This window comes from Homo sapiens, chromosome 15, assembly GCF_000001405.40.
Source record: "Homo sapiens chromosome 15, GRCh38.p14 Primary Assembly".
NCBI classification, from domain to species: Eukaryota; Metazoa; Chordata; class Mammalia; order Primates; family Hominidae; genus Homo; species Homo sapiens.
In genome coordinates, this window is record NC_000015.10 from 27,043,879 (window position 1) to 27,059,220 (window position 15,342).

At 43.8% G+C, this 15,342-nt stretch overlaps 1 protein-coding gene and 1 long non-coding RNA gene across 3 annotated transcripts in view, besides 2 other annotated features; one reads left to right on the forward strand and one right to left on the reverse strand.

The window, feature by feature from the left end:
* GABRG3 (gamma-aminobutyric acid type A receptor subunit gamma3) overlaps positions 1-15,342 on the forward strand; it is a 570,804-nt gene that overhangs the window by 72,698 nt on the left and 482,764 nt on the right. The gene's annotated exons all lie outside the window — the stretch shown is intronic.
* Positions 1-15,342, reverse strand: part of LOC124903449 (uncharacterized) — a 33,128-nt gene that overhangs the window by 4,901 nt on the left and 12,885 nt on the right. The window lies entirely within an intron of this gene.
* Positions 8,436-8,935: an enhancer, noted in NCBI's record as "H3K4me1 hESC enhancer chr15:27297461-27297960 (GRCh37/hg19 assembly coordinates)". NCBI's record gives its function as "activates a minimal SCP1, AML or CMV promoter by ChIP-STARR-seq in primed H9 embryonic stem cells {active_cell/tissue: H9 hESC(primed)}" and the evidence as "EXISTENCE:reporter gene assay evidence [ECO:0000049][PMID:30033119]".
* Positions 13,814-15,013: an enhancer, noted in NCBI's record as "CDK7 strongly-dependent group 2 enhancer chr15:27302839-27304038 (GRCh37/hg19 assembly coordinates)". NCBI's record gives its function as "activates an origin of replication core promoter dependent on BRD2, BRD4, P300/CBP, MED14 and CDK7 cofactors, with strong dependence on CDK7, by STARR-seq in HCT116 cells {active_cell/tissue: HCT116}" and the evidence as "EXISTENCE:reporter gene assay evidence [ECO:0000049][PMID:35650434]".

Here is a 15,342-nt window from a genome sequence, read left to right on the forward strand (position 1 = left end):
TGGGCCCAGAAGAAGCTGCTTCCAGAGCCGTCTCCTGCCTGCCAGCAGGATGCAGCTCCTCTCAGGCTGTCGGGCTGAGAGTCTCAACTCCTCCCTGGCCTTTGCCTGGCCTGGCTCAGTTCCTGGCACAAGGGCCCCTCCACTGGGAAACTGGCTTTATTAGAAGGAAAGAGGAAGGAAGGATCAGGGGAGGTGAGAGAGGAGAGGGGAGGGGAGGATGTTTTTATAATCTAACCTCGGAAGTGATGTCATGTCACTTTGGCCATATCTGTTGGTTAGGAACAACACATCACTAGGCCCAGCCCTCGTGTGCTGGGAGGATATACTCAAAGCCTGAATGTCAGGAGGGGAGATATTCAGGAGTTGTTTTGGAAGCTGAAGACCACACACTTATTTTGTGCCAGTCACTGTTCTAGAAGTAAAACCAGACATGGTTTCTGAAATTAAGGTGATTTCTGTTCTTGCCCTAAACACGGTTTTGATATTTTTAGGCAAATCGAAGCTATCAATAGGTATTGACTAAAAGAAAATATAAATAGATGTCAAAATGCAAACTTGTTGATATCCATTGTTGTCAAAATACTTATAATTTTCACATTTTGAAATCAAATGTTGATATTAAATATACCATTGCAAAAATATTAAGATAAAATATTTGCATGAATGAAGAAAAGCAAAACCTTTTAATACATAATGATAAAGTACAATGCCAGTGTTAAAAGAAAACCTTTAGACAAATTAAATTAACAGAGTTTAACTGAGCAAAGGGTGAATCATGAAGGGGGCAGGCCCTAGAATCAGAATAGGTTCAGAAAGTCTGTTACTACAACCAAAAAGTAGTCAAACAATGTTAATGGACAGAGAAAAGGAAATGAGGGACAGAAACAGCTCCATTGGTTGCCACTCAGTGTGGCCTTATTTGAACCTGGTTTAACCAGTTGGCCGCCTGTGACTGGCTGAAGCTTGGCGGCTGTGATTGGCTGAGACTCAATTATTTGTTACAGAAGCATACTCATAAGTTAGCCTTTCAATTTATTTACATACTGAGTTAGATTGGAGCTTATTACACACAGCTGGTATGGAGGCCTCTAAAGCCCAAATTTAGTTTGATTTAACAGCAGTCTAACAATCAATACTAAAAAGTAATCTTAAATTGGAATACCCATAAAATAAAGCCTAGAAGATGCAGGTAGTCATTAATTCACATAACTACTGAGACAGATTATTATAGAAGTCAGAGGGGTTATTTCAGAAGTGGAATGAGAAGCTCTGAAGCTGCATTATATATAAAGGAGCATGGCCTAGATCAGACCTATTGGAGAATTCCCTGAGGCGCTTATGAGCCCAGAGGGCTGAGCAGAGGTCAGCCAGGCGAAGGGGTGATTTCAGGTTGTCCTGAACAGGACGGAGTGGCAGGTGCAAAGGCCTCGTGCTAGGTGCCGCACAGCACACCCCGAAACTCACATGAGGGTAGAACATACCCACTTCTCTCACCGGGGGAACAAACTCCAGAAGGTCAGTTCCTTATGCTCTGTCATTATTAGTTTGCACACAACCGAATAGTGTCCCTTTATCTGATTTCCCTTTCCGGTGTGCACCCAGCATCTACTGCAAGATAAACTATCTAGAATGAAGGAATTGATATATGCTTTGGCAACAATCAATTTAAGCAGCTCTCAGCTAGAGCACAAAACCGTAAATCTGCTGCAATTGCTGGGCATCAAGGGGCATCAGCAGTTGCTCTGCCTCACTTTATCAGAAGCAGGTGCACACTCATGGAAGGCGAAAGAGAAAGGAATTAGGATCCACTGAGTTTCAATGTGCGCCAGTTTGCACACATTACCTCATTTTGTCCTCAGGGAGCCCACAACGTCTTTTTGGAGACAGGGAACCAAGTGCAGTGAGACAGCGGTCAATGCCCGTGCCCAGGTCTTTCCTCCGGAGGCAGCGTGGGCTCTGCAAGGCCACCTGTCTTCACTTTGCAGCAAAACCAAGTCCTCATGCAGGGGCCGATGAGTTCTAAATGCATGGAGAAACACTGGCTCAGCCTCTTCACCTGCACATGGTGATACTAATTATGTTTGCTTTGCCAGAGGAGGATGTGGGCAGACGTGGGAACTGCAGAGAGCTCCGAGTTCCGAGGGAAGCGTCACGGAAGTGTGAAGGGCGAGGGAAGGGATGCCCTTGAATCCTTACATACTTCTTTTTCTTTTTTTTCTTTTTTATTTTTTTGAGATGGAGTTTCACTCTTGTTGCCGAGGCTGGAGTGCAATGGCACGATCTCAGCTCACCGCAACGTCCGTCTCCGGGGTTCAAGTGATTCTCCTGCCCCAGCCTCCCGAGTAGCTGGGATTACAGGCATGCACCACCATACCTGGCTAATTTTTTTTTTTTTTTTGTATTTTTAGTAGAGACTGGTTTCTCCATGTTTGTCAGGCTGGTCTCGAACTCCTGACCTCAGGTGATCCACCTGCCTCGGTCTCCCAAAGTGCTGGGATTATTGGCGTGAGCCACCACGCTTGGCCCCTTATATACTTCTTAAAGTTGTTTCCCCTTACTCAGTGTCCCCTGGCTCACTCCTGTATTCTCCAGCTGCATGAAGACAGCCACGGGTCTTCCCTTGCCTGTGCTGATCACTGTGTGGTCATTCTCCTGTATCGTTAGTGCTGTGCGCATCCCTTACTGGCTTGTCCATCTTTCATTCACAGCTTTGTGTTGCAAGAGAAAGCTAATCCTTCCCACTTCTGTTGCTCTGTCATGTATTGATAGCAAATTCATTAAACTCCAGTTTCAAAGTCACAGCATGTTGGTGTTACATCCCTTTTGGATATGTGAGGTATCTTTTTTGGAGGTCTGAAAATAGGCACACACCTTTAAAATGTCAGTCCACTCTTGGAGAGGAAGAGGATGTTCATTTTGCCGTTGTCTTTCAGCTTTTTCTTTTGGAGGTAGAATATAATCAGGCACATCTGTGGCTCTCAAACACTTAGAGGAATTTGATGTTTTCAGACAAAGTGATGTTATCAAATGAAGTGTTATTGCCACTGTACTTCTTTCTTGTTTTATCAGTTTTATTATTTATTTAAAATGTCTCTTGAATGACTCTGTTCTTTAATCCTCTGGGATGGTGAAAGACGATGTAAGATAATGTCTGCAGTGGGACCATATGGTGTCAGTTGCTTGCTCAGCTAGTTGTTGCATAATTTTTCATGCTGGTTTCCTCTCCAGAGATAAACCACCACATACTCATTTTAAATCCAACATATAGGGTATCTTCAGGCCGCTGTGTTCTGAAGGAACATTCTGGCCAAATGTTCCATATTCCCCGAGACTTCCCAGTCTTACAGTTATCATACTGCTGACATTATTGGAGAATTAGCAGTCCAGGGTGCACTATGCATGTTTGGGTAAGGGAAACATGTCACCCTCGCAGGTCTCATAATTATCTGTAGAATCACTGAATAAGATGAGGCCCAGCACCTCCATTACTGTAATTCATGGGCACTGACTATCATTTTGATTGAAAATGTGTGCCCATGGCCTGGCTTACAGGGAGCCCTGACGTCATATCATAGTTAATTATGAAAATCAGATATGTGTTCATGATTCTTGGTTCTCATAAATCTGTTGCATGTGAAAAACTTCAGCTAAAAGTCAAGGGCTGTTCCCTTTGTATCAACTTTGTTTAGTGAATAAGAAAGGGAATTTTTAATACTTGAGAAATATTTGGCAATGCACAGTTTAAAGTTTTTCAGATTTATACCTTGCAAGCCTCCTTATAAAACAGTTAATTTTCAGTGTCTGAGACTCATGGTCAGGTCGATTTTAAAAGGACAAGCTGAAAATGATATTGTCTTTGCTATTGGGCTGCTGCCGACTTTGCAGATCTGGGAGAGGCAGTGTGAATCTATTTCTGGGCTAAAAATGGAATCAGGATGGATTACCTTAGTCTAGGAGACAACCTTTAATTGTGCACTTTATCTTTATTTGGATCTATTAAGTTTTAACTGGTGGTCATTTTGCTAAATGTGTTGAACCCAGATAAAAATTTAAATTGTGAAATAACTGAATTACAGAAAACGAGAGAATCAGATGAGCAGGGGTCCCAGAAAATGCATTGAGAATAGGTCGTTTGCATCCAGGCAAGGTACAACACAGATAGTCGGTGAGTGAGGGCCGCCATGGCTCAGGGAGTCTGGAGGGGGCTCCATCCTCTTCCAGCCTGGGGAGAGGCCCCAGCAAGGGGTGCTGCAGGGGGGTGAGTACAGGGGCCCCATACCTGCCAGAGGACTGCACCCCACTGCCCTGGGAGCAGGCTGTGTGCCTCTCATGTGCTCATTTACTCTGAAGAGGGTGTGGAGGCCCAGGCTTCCTTTCCCTCAGAGGTGCCACTGACATGGTTTGTGTGCCAGCCCACCCTCTGATCCAGAACGTCCAGACAGAATCTCTGGGCAAATGCAAGCTCCAGGTGCCAGGCTCCCGGCTGACCTCACAAGCAGACTAGATATGGATGTGTTCGGAAACAGGGAGTTCATCTGGCCCCGGCAGCAGGAGCCAGCTGGGAACTCAGCAGAGGAGCCCAAAGCCCCAGGAGCTGACCTCAGTCCCTCCATAGGGCCTGCAGGCAGGTGGCTGGGGCTTTGCTCTTCCACCCGTCCCCCATGGTCTTATGAAGATCTTAGGTGTCTGAGAAAAACAGGCAGGTTTCGGTCCCCTGAAACTGCCACTGGAGCTAATAGCATCAAATCATAACATTAATCAGCTGCCCACGGGTGGGCAGGCATTGTCAATTTCCTTCAAAAAGAAAGATGTCTTCAATGACGATTTGAAATTTCCTTATACTTAAATCTCTCCTGAGAGATGTGGGGATTAAATATGTCACCATCATGTGGCTTCTGTGCCAGGTTGTGGCAACCTCATCTCAGAGTCCAAGGCACCAGGCCCTGGTTCTCCTAACCCTGACCATCTCTGACTGTATCTCCCTCTCCTTCCTTCCTGCCCCCTGCAAATGGATGGAAGTTGGATTCTTCTGTGACAGCCAGGTCCTGACTTTCCTTCAGGTGTTTGGGGGCTACCCTGGGGCCTGCTGCCCACCACGCTACGGGGCTCTGTGAGCCTCGGACGCACAGCCTGTTAGAGGAAGTCAGTACTCGGACACTAGAGAAAGATGCGGCTTTGCAAGCTCAGAGATTCCCAGGAAGTGCTGAGCTGCCTTTGGGCAGGGTGGCTGCATGAGCATGCATCTCCTGCACATGCAGGGTTGGGTTTAATGCTCTGGTGTCTCTCTCTTGATGTGCGTAACCGTTTTTGATTAGGGAGCCCTGCATTTTTATTTTGTGCTGGGCCCCACAAATTATGTAGGCAGCCCAGCTGCTGATGTGTCTTTGCCTTCAGGTAGTTCATGCTTTCGCGTTACATGGGTCCACAGACTACAGTCGCACAAATCAGAGCTTCATTTATTTAAACCCTCATATGGTCTTAGAATTTCACTATCTTCCTGGAGCACCTGCTAGCTGTCTGTGCTTCACACTGTTTGTATTAGTTTCTTCCAGTTTCTAATCTTACTGCTTCTAACTTGGGAGCTCAATTTCTTCCCAGCAGCCTTACCAATCACTCCCCTGAGCTGAGGACCGACCATAGAAATGAAAGCCACACACCCAGCAGGGATGCCAGTGATCATGGTCACGGAATAAGGCAAACCCGGGCTCAAATGCTCCCTCCCAAGTACTGAACATGACACTTTTCATTTCCCTTATTTGAAGAGCAGGCACAATAAAAACACCTATCAAATATATTTAAGAATTACATCAGAAATGCATAAACAGGTAGATGTGTTTAGTGCAATAGCTCATAGTTAACTCCCTGAAAGAAGAGTAAGAAAGGATGAGTGATGCGTGCACGCTGCTAGACCAGGAGAAGAGCAGGGCTCTGGGAGGGGCACAGTGAGCGGGGATGAAAGGTCATATCCACCTGTGTGACAGCAGGACACCTGTGTGCCCTCCCTGGGCCTCTGTTTTTGTATTTGTTAAACCCTCTTGTGGACGGGCTGATTGTGGATTAATTAGATAATACATCAAATGCCTGTGATGTTGTCTGAAATATGTTGAATAAGACCTATAATAAGTGGGTTTCTCTATTCTGTTCTGAGACGGGCCTTTCCAAAAGCAGAGAGGAAACACACAGCTTTTTGGTAGAGGAAGAAGATTTAAATTTAATCTCTGGTACATCCCGTTCTGATACCTATGTATATGCAGATTCTAAAGTGAGATTTAGTCTCTATATTGGGCATGGACTGAGATAGTCTCCACATGTTCTTTGATGACACACAAAGAGATTAGCCGTAGGGAAAAGACACAATATTTTACTTCCTGTATGAAGGAAGGCATTTGCTTTGAGCTGTTTCCTCCTTCTTCTGTGCTCATGCCTGAAACTCTGTCCCTGGGGCCCCCTGGTGACCCCAAACTGCATTCTCCCCTGCTTCCCGAGGGTGGGTGAAATTACTGTCCCTTTCTCGCAGGCACAGCAGGGCTGTTCAGGTCTCCAGCCAACTCCCTTCACCTGGGAGGTGGCAGGGCAGCCACACACCATTGCCTTGCCCTTCGTCCTGCTGTTCCTAGGATAAGATAGCATCTCAGGGGATCTTAGGAGGATCTCTGGGTTTTACTACCAGTAAAGCTGTAAAGCCCTTATTTGCCCAGGAGAACAAGATTTCCTCGAATACCTAAACTCAGTAATGTAGAAGCAGCTGAGTTATTAAGATTCAGACTTCTGGAGGGGGCTGTTTTTATTCTTGGGTGTTTTATTTCCAAGTGGATGACAATAAGTTATTTTTATAAACTTTTTAAATTTAATTATAATATTATTAACTATTTCTTAAGTTATAGACTAATTATCTGTAATTACAAGGAAATTACTTATAGTAGTCATACAGTATTACCACTGATTACTATATATTAAGCATTACAATTTATTACCAATAGCTGTACATATTTTGCTTATAATATGATGTTTAATATCATGGTCCTGCTATTGCAAATTATGTAGTTTTTAAACTCATGAGAGGAAGAGATTTATCCATTTTATATGGTAAGAGGAAAATGATCCAAATATGGTCAAATTTATACTGCTGTTAGCTGTAGCACATAAAAGTCATACAATGCTAGGTGTAACCAGATAAATTGAGGCAATAGGACTCAGACCACAAATTCTTTGTATTTATTAGATGACCATAGTGCAGTTGTTTTTTACATTTGCCTTAAATTCTATAGACTTTCATTCCAAAGGGAAAAAATCTAGACAAGCTACAATTGTTGACTCTCCTGTTTTCAGTCATTTTAGGTAATGATTAGACCTGACCTAAATTTACTGGCAATTTAGAATCTCAGAAGAAATGCTGTTTTATTGATTTTATTTTTTTTATTGAGGTTATGTCCCTCCAAAATGCATCTATCCATCAATGTCCATCCAGAAGATAAACTATAGTGAATTAGCCATTGTTTATAATGGATACACATTTTGATGAATAGTATATGTTGTGGACTGAATTTTGTGTCTCCCCCAAAATGCATCTGTTGAAATCCTAACTCCCAAGGTGGTGATATTAGGAGGTGTGTCCTTTGGGAAGGGGATTAAGTCATGAGGGTGGAGGCCCCACACATGGGATTAGTGACTTTATAAAAGGGACCTCAGATAACTCTTGTCCCTTCCTCTGTGTGGGGACACAGCAGGAAGATACCATCTAAGACAGTAGTCCCCAACCTTTTTGGCACCAGGGACCGGTTTCATGGAAGACAGTTTTTCCACGGACCAGGGCTGGGGGTTTCAGGATGATTCAAGTGCATTACATTTATTGTGCAGTCTACTTCTATTACTATTATATTGTAATATACAGTGAAATAATTATACAACTTATACAACTCACCATCATGTAGAATCAGTGGAGCCCTGAGCTTGTTTTCTAGCAATTAGATGGTCCCATCTGGGGGTGATGGGAGACGTGACAGATCATCAGGCATTAGATTCTCATAAGGAGTGTGCAACCTAGATCCCTTGCATGTGCAGTTCACAATAGGGTTCGTGCTCCTGTGAGAATCTAATGCTGCCACTGATCTGACAGGAGGCGGAGCTCAGTAATGTGAGTGATGGGCAGCGGCTGTAAATACAGATGAAGCTTCTCTTGCTCGCCCGCCTCTCACCTCCTGCTGTGTGGCCCAGTTCCTGACAGGCCTTGGACTGATACCCGGCCACAGATCGGGCGTTGGGGCCCCCTGATCTAAGAGGAAGAATGCCATGTCTGGTAGAAGGATGGTGTGTTCTCTGTCCCACCCCCATGAAATTTCTGGTGGGGACTGGTCTGTCTTTGTCTCTTGAGAGTGCTGAGTTACGTTGATCACAACACCTCTGATCACCTTGGGGGGGTGCTGTCACTCCCGTGCCGCAAATGGTGACCAGATCAGAGAAAGGACTCAGCCCTCAGGTGGTGGCACCATAGCCAGTGGCCAGTGGGGCCTCGGCGTGTGGCACAGGTGGTAGAAAAACTTGGCATTCTGTGGGCCAATGTGGAGTGTTAGGCCTGGAGAATCACAGAAAATCTAAGCATAAGGCCCTTCATTCCTCCTGTAACTCCTTGACAAAAGAAGTGCCACAGTGCCTGTGAGGGTGCATGATGGCAGGCCACTTCCCTCCTGCTGCTTCTAAAACACACGAAATCTAGTATCAAGACAAACAAAAATAAATGAGCAAGAAGATTCAGCAAATGGATCAGCAGATGATTAAAATACCTAATGTAGAGCTATGCTCATAGTTTAAAAAGTCTAGATACAGTGGACAATTTGGGGGAAAGATTAACCTGGATCAAAAGAAGAGGGAAACACAATTTCATACTATACTGCAAGACTACATTAACCAAAATAGCATGGTACTGGCACAAAAACAGACATACGGACAAGTGGAATAGAGTAGATAACCCAGAAATAAAGCAACACACATGCAACCAGATGATCTTTGATAAAATTGATAAAAATAAGCAATAGGGAAAGGACTCTCTGTTCAGTAAATAGTGCTGGGAAAACAGGCTAGCCACATGCGGAAGAATGAAACTGGACCCTACATATCACCATATACAAAAATTAACTCAAGGCGGATTAAAGGCTTAAATGTAAGACATCAAAATAACAAAATCCTAGAAGAAAACCTAGGAAATACCCTTCTGGATATTGGCCTTGGCAAAGAATTTATGGCTAAGTCCTCAAAAGCAATTGCAACAAAAACAAAAATTGACAGTGGGACCAAATAACTAAAGAACTTCTGTACAGCAACAGAAACTATCAACAACCCACAGAATGGGAGAAAATATTCACTATGCTTCTAATAGAGGCCTAATGTCCAGAATCTATAACTAACTTAAATCAACAAACAAAAACAAATAACCCCACTAGAAAGTGAGTAAAGGACATGGACAGATACTTCTCAAAAGAAGACATACAAGTGACCAACAAATGAAAAAATCCTCAACATCACTAACCGTCAGAGAATTGCAAATCAAAACCACAGTGAGACACCATCTCACGCCAGTCAGAATAGTTATTACTAAAAAGTTAAAAGCCAGCAGGGTTGGAGAGGCTGCAGAGAAAATGGAACACTTATACACTGTTGGTGAGAAGGTAAATTGGTTCAGCCATTGTGGAGAGCATTTTGGAGATTTCTCAAAGAAGTAAAAACAGAACTAGCAATCCCATTACCTAGTATATACCCAGTGGAAAATAAATCATTCTACCAAAACGACATATGCACTTGTATGTTCACTGCACCACTATTCACAATAGCAAAGACATGGAATGAACCAAAGTGCCCATAAATGGTGACAGAAAAAAGAAAATGTGTAAATATACACCGTGAAATACCGCGCAGCCATTAAGAAAGAATGAAGGCATATCCTTTGCAGCTACATGGATGGGAAGGTGGAGGCCGTGATCCTAAGTGAATTAATGCAGAAACAAAAATGAAATACTGCATGTCATCACTTATAAGTGGAAGCTAAATTTTGGATACACATGGACATAAAGATGGGAATAGACACTGGGGACTTCAAAAGGAGGGAGGGGCCGGGTGTGGCGGCTCACGCCTCTAATCCCTGCACTTTGACTAAGGCAGGTGGATCACCTGAGGTCAGGAGTTCGAGACCAGCCTGGCTAACCTGGTGAAACCCCATCTCTACTAAAAAAAATAGCACGCACCTGTAATCCCAGCTACTCAGGAGGCTGAGGTGGGAGAATCCCTTGAGCCCGGGAGGCGGAGGTTGCAGTGAGCCGAGATCGCACCACTATACTCCAGCCTGGGCGAAAGAGCCAAACTCTATCTCAAAAAGAAAAAAAAAAAGAAAAAAGGAGGGAGGGTGTGAGGGGGCCAAGGACTGAAAAACTGCCTGTTGGGTTCTGTGCTCACTACCTGGGAGATGGGACCGATCAAAGCCCAAACCTCAGCATCACGAAACATATCCAGGGAACAAACCTGCACGTGTACCCCCTGAATCTAAAATAAAAATAGAAATAAACAAGGAAGAAGGAAATAAGCAACACTGGAAAAAACTGTAAAAGTTATCAAAGAATTTCCTCCAAAACAGGTTCCAGAGCCAAAGTCACGTTTTTCAGAAGCAACATTCCCAAGGCTGTAAGACTTGACTGAGTGTTACAAGAAAGGCGGAAATGCATCCGTTTATTTTGTGGTGCCGCCCTGACTCCCATACAGAAAACTGGCCAGGACAACGCAGAGCTGCAGATCCGTCAGATGGAATGGATACAGATCAGTCTTGATGCCAGGGACGGTGCTTCAAAAGCAGCTATTACTCTGAAAGGACACTCAGCAGATCCGGGGGCTTCAGGTTGTGAGATGAGCTCTGTATCGAGCGGGGAGGAACAGCTGCTGTGCACCACACTGAAGCCCTGAGACCAGCGGGGAACTACCTGTCTTTATTAAGATCGACTACAAAAGTCTAAGTTACTGTCCTCGTTTTGAGGGGGACTCTGAGTGGACCCTTGGTGGAATGGTTGTCAGCCACAAAGCAAGAGCGTCAAACCTGAGAGTGAAACTGGGCAAAGTTTGTAAGTTACAGCCCAAGGGCCAAGACCTGTTTTTTTTTTTTTTTTTTTTTAAATGACTTGTCAGCTAATAATAGTCTTTACATTCTTAAAGGATTGTGAAAAACAGCAGCAGCAGCAACAACAACTAGCCCCCCAAACAAAAGAAGGCTGTGTAATAGAGACTCCGTGTCCCACACCAGAGCAGCCTGTGATAGAGGCTCCGCGTCCCGCACCGGAGCAGCCTGTGATAGAGACTCTGTGTCCCGCACCGGAGCAGCTTGCTAGCACGTCCCGGGCTTTCACCCCGTAACATCTTAAGAAGGATGGAAAGACCAATCAGTACAAAAAAATAACCTGAACTTGTTACATCTGTAACTCGGGGAAATTAGTTCTAAAGCTATCATTATTTGCTAATGTTATAAGTATTTATTTAGGAAGTCAAAAGGAGATAATGGAAGACTTAGATACAGGCGGAGCATCCCAAATCTGAAAATCGGAAATCCAGAAGGCTCCAAAATCCAAAGCTTTGTGAGCACTGACCTAATGCGACAAATAGAAAATCCCACACCTGACCTCACATGGCAGGTCACAGTCAAACGCTGGCGCAGAACACACGGTGTTTTCAGCGTTCCCATAGGAATAATAAAATTACCTTCAGGCTACATGCATAAGGTGTGTATGAAACATAAATGAATTCCTGTTTATACTTGGTTTCCATTATTAAGATATTTCATTATCTGTATGGAAATATTTTCAAATATGAAATAATCTGAGATCTGAAACACTTCTGGTCCCATGCATTTCAGATAAGGGATACCCAACCAGTAATGATGGAGATTATCAAAGGTTTGAGAACAAAGCAAAAGCATTCTCAAAAGTCATTGAGAAAAAAAAATCATCCCAGAAATACTAGGGAAATATATGGTTTTTAATTTTTAAAGAGTTTTATATTATTTTAATTGGCAAATAATAAATGCACATATTGATGAGGTACAATGTGACACTTTGATACATGTATACATTCTGCAGTGATCAACTCAAGGTAATATTTTTTAAAAATTTGCAGGAGGAGAAAAATCACAAATAGTCACAAACAGAAAATAAATGTACAGGCTGGGTGCAGTGGCTCAAGCCTGTAATCCTAGCACTTTGGGAGGCTGAGGTGGTGGGTTACTTGAGTCCAGGAGTTCGAGATCAGCCTGGGCAACATGGAGAAAACCCATGTCTACAAAAAATGCAAAATAATGAGCCAGGTGTGGTGGTACACACCTGTAGTCCCAGCTACTTGGGAGGCTGAGGTGGGAGGATCACTTGAGCCTGGGGGGAACTGAGGCCGCAGTGAGCTGTGATTGTGCCACTGCACTCCAGCCTGGTTGACAGAGTGAGACCCTGTCTCCAAAAAAAAAAAAAAAAAAAAGAAAAGAAAAAAGAAAATAAACATACATATTGAGATATTGAACCCGTTGTTTGAGTCAGGCATGGTTTTAGGTCCTGAAATGAAAATTAACACCAGACAACCAGCCTGAGAATTTGCAAGAATGTTCTAAAAGTGATCATGCAGTGCTGGAAAAAGCTGTGGAAAGAAAGTGAGAAGTGTTGTCCAGTGTTGGTGGGAGAATGAAACTGGGGTGTGTGGAGAGCGTTTGTGAGAAGCCTCCGCCGGAAGGAGCTCAGATCCTGCTGTTGGTGCTCCAAGCTCAGACTGAATGGGAAGTTCACAAGACCCCCCACGGTGGCTTCCACTGCAAACAGAAAACCAGTGGACGTGAGGATGGGAGAGGTGGTGGATGAGCGTTTTCATTAAAGTTGTTGATTTATTCTGCAATAAATGGAACTCGTTTGTAGGGTAGCTTTTTAAGAATGGCTCCAGCACACTATTCTGGATTCTTCACTGATTTCTCTTGAGACCCAAGACTGTGATCGGGAAAAAGCACCTTCTCATCATCTAGTTCCTCTGTGTGCAGTGTGTGCTTGGGTCCTCCTTAATGAAAAATATTGTCCCTGTCTCCTATCTCCTCTTGTTCAGACTCTATACTCTTCCCTGCTTATTATCAAGGGAAGGATTCAGAGACAGGGTGTGGAGTAAACATTGCTCTCATGTCCATTGTCCAGGTGGAGAAATAAACCTTCCAACAGTGGCCAGAACCCCTAACCCCAGCCCCTTCTTGAAGCTTTTAGTCCTTGATTCCATTTTTTTGGTCATCAGATTTTTAGCTGGTGGTTTTTTCCAAGGGTGGATCTTTCTTCCTAACTCACACACATGAAACTCCTCTGCTTCTTGTGCCCATTGTGGCTGACAACTTCAATAAAGAAGTTTTCCGATCTGGCCAGGACAAAAGTCACAGAACATAATTTTTATGGGATTAAAACCATTTCTGCTCTTGTAGTTTCAGTAGAGAATGTTTTCTGAAACCAGCTTACAGGAAGGCATCAACACTTACGGTGATTTATGCCTCTGATTTTTAGGAGAAAATGGTAAATGACAAGTACAATGCCTGAGATTTATTAAAACAAAAACATTTCAGAGAATGTCATGGGGTGGTTTGAGGTCTGCTCAGTTTCCTGTGCCTTATACATCTACGGGGCTGCACGATCCTAGAAGACGTGTCTGAGCCCCCTGGAAAGGCCTCTGGGCTGTGGAGGGCACCTGTGATGGAGAGAGGTGTCCTGGCCGCCAGGTCACCCTCGGGGCTCCCATTGCTCATGTCCTTCAGGTGTTTCCTAAGTAAAAACTGGTGTTGTTGTCTGGGAATCTTACCACGTACTTATTCTTTGGAAATCTATCATACCAGCAGGTGGAATCGGTGTAGTTCAGGACATTCGCCATTTAATCGAGACATAGAAAAGCCATGTTTACTTGCCTCAAAGAAGTCCCACTGATGAAGAAATAAAGGAAGTTTCCATGCACATCCACTACCAGAAGGAAAGTCATGACAGTCCGCTCCCATTGCAACTCGAGAGGATGTGTGCATTGGCCTCTGCAACCGGGCTTCTTACAGGACATGAGTGCATTCTCCATCCACTGGGAGGCGGCTTGTATACTCACTCTCACAGTGAATCTGCCGACAGTTCTCAAAGCTGAGGAAGCATACAGGCTTTGCCCGTGGTTGGGTGGTGAGGCTGCATTTCGTGCTCATCTGCTCCATCTGCAGAGCCAGCCTTGAATTTTAAAGTCCTGTCTTACTGGACTCCTGTGATGACTCACTATGATAACGCATCAGAACACATGGATCTTAAATACGCAGGGACAAAATAAGAGAAGCGCTGATTTCTCCAAGGAAGTCCAGGTGTTCCCATTTACGGTGCATCTGAGAATGGAGATGATAGGGACAAGAGTCCACACCAGGCTATCTCCGCACAGCAGAGCTCAGAATTACAGATGGCAGAGCCTTGCTGAGCAGTTTAGACGAGGGTAAAGATTTTTGAGTATGCTTTTCATTGTAAGTTTTGGAGGCGTCCATTAGGGCCACTCAGCAGAGGTCTGAATCATCTGATTGCTCTGTTTGACTCAGTGTTGGAAGCCTGTTGAACAGGAAATGAGCTATTTCTTGCTCAACCAGGAGTTGTAGCATCTTTGAAGTTTGGGAAGTTAATTTATAAATTCCCAACTGTCCGGCTACATGTCAAGTGTCTGGTCATTGTTTTGATTTGTTGCAACCTGTGAAAGTACTTTTTTTTTTTTTCAAAGTCAAATTGCCATATTGGAAACCAGGAGCCACCATCTTTAAACAATTAGAGATTAGAGATTTGCTATGACTTTACCTATACAGTGCTTAAGACCGATTTAGTCTATTAGAAACCAGTAAGTTCGCGGGCCTCATCAAAATTGATAAGTGATTAGCACTGTCTATAAAACTATGCCATATCGTATAAAGTAAAATTGCTTCTTAACTATCTTTGTGTTGCTATAGTACATATTTCTGAAAAGCTCTTAGACTAAATGCAACCGTCATCACCAATAAAACCATTAATGAACCCTATACACAAATGAACTTTGAATCCTGTGGCCACTATTAAAACAATTTTAGATCTTGATTTGCCATTTGGGGAATGCTAAGCTGCTGTAACAGCAGGCTCAAACTAATTCACTGAATTGGAAAATATGGAAATTCTTCATATAAGAACTCTGAAGTGAGCATTTCAGGCTGGCAGGCTGCCCTGGTGCCCTCTGCCATTCAGGGAAGCAGAAGACAATGAAGGCTCTGTCACTCCCAACACGAGGCTGCAAAGGTTGCCATACATGCTCTTTCTAGCCAGCAGGAAG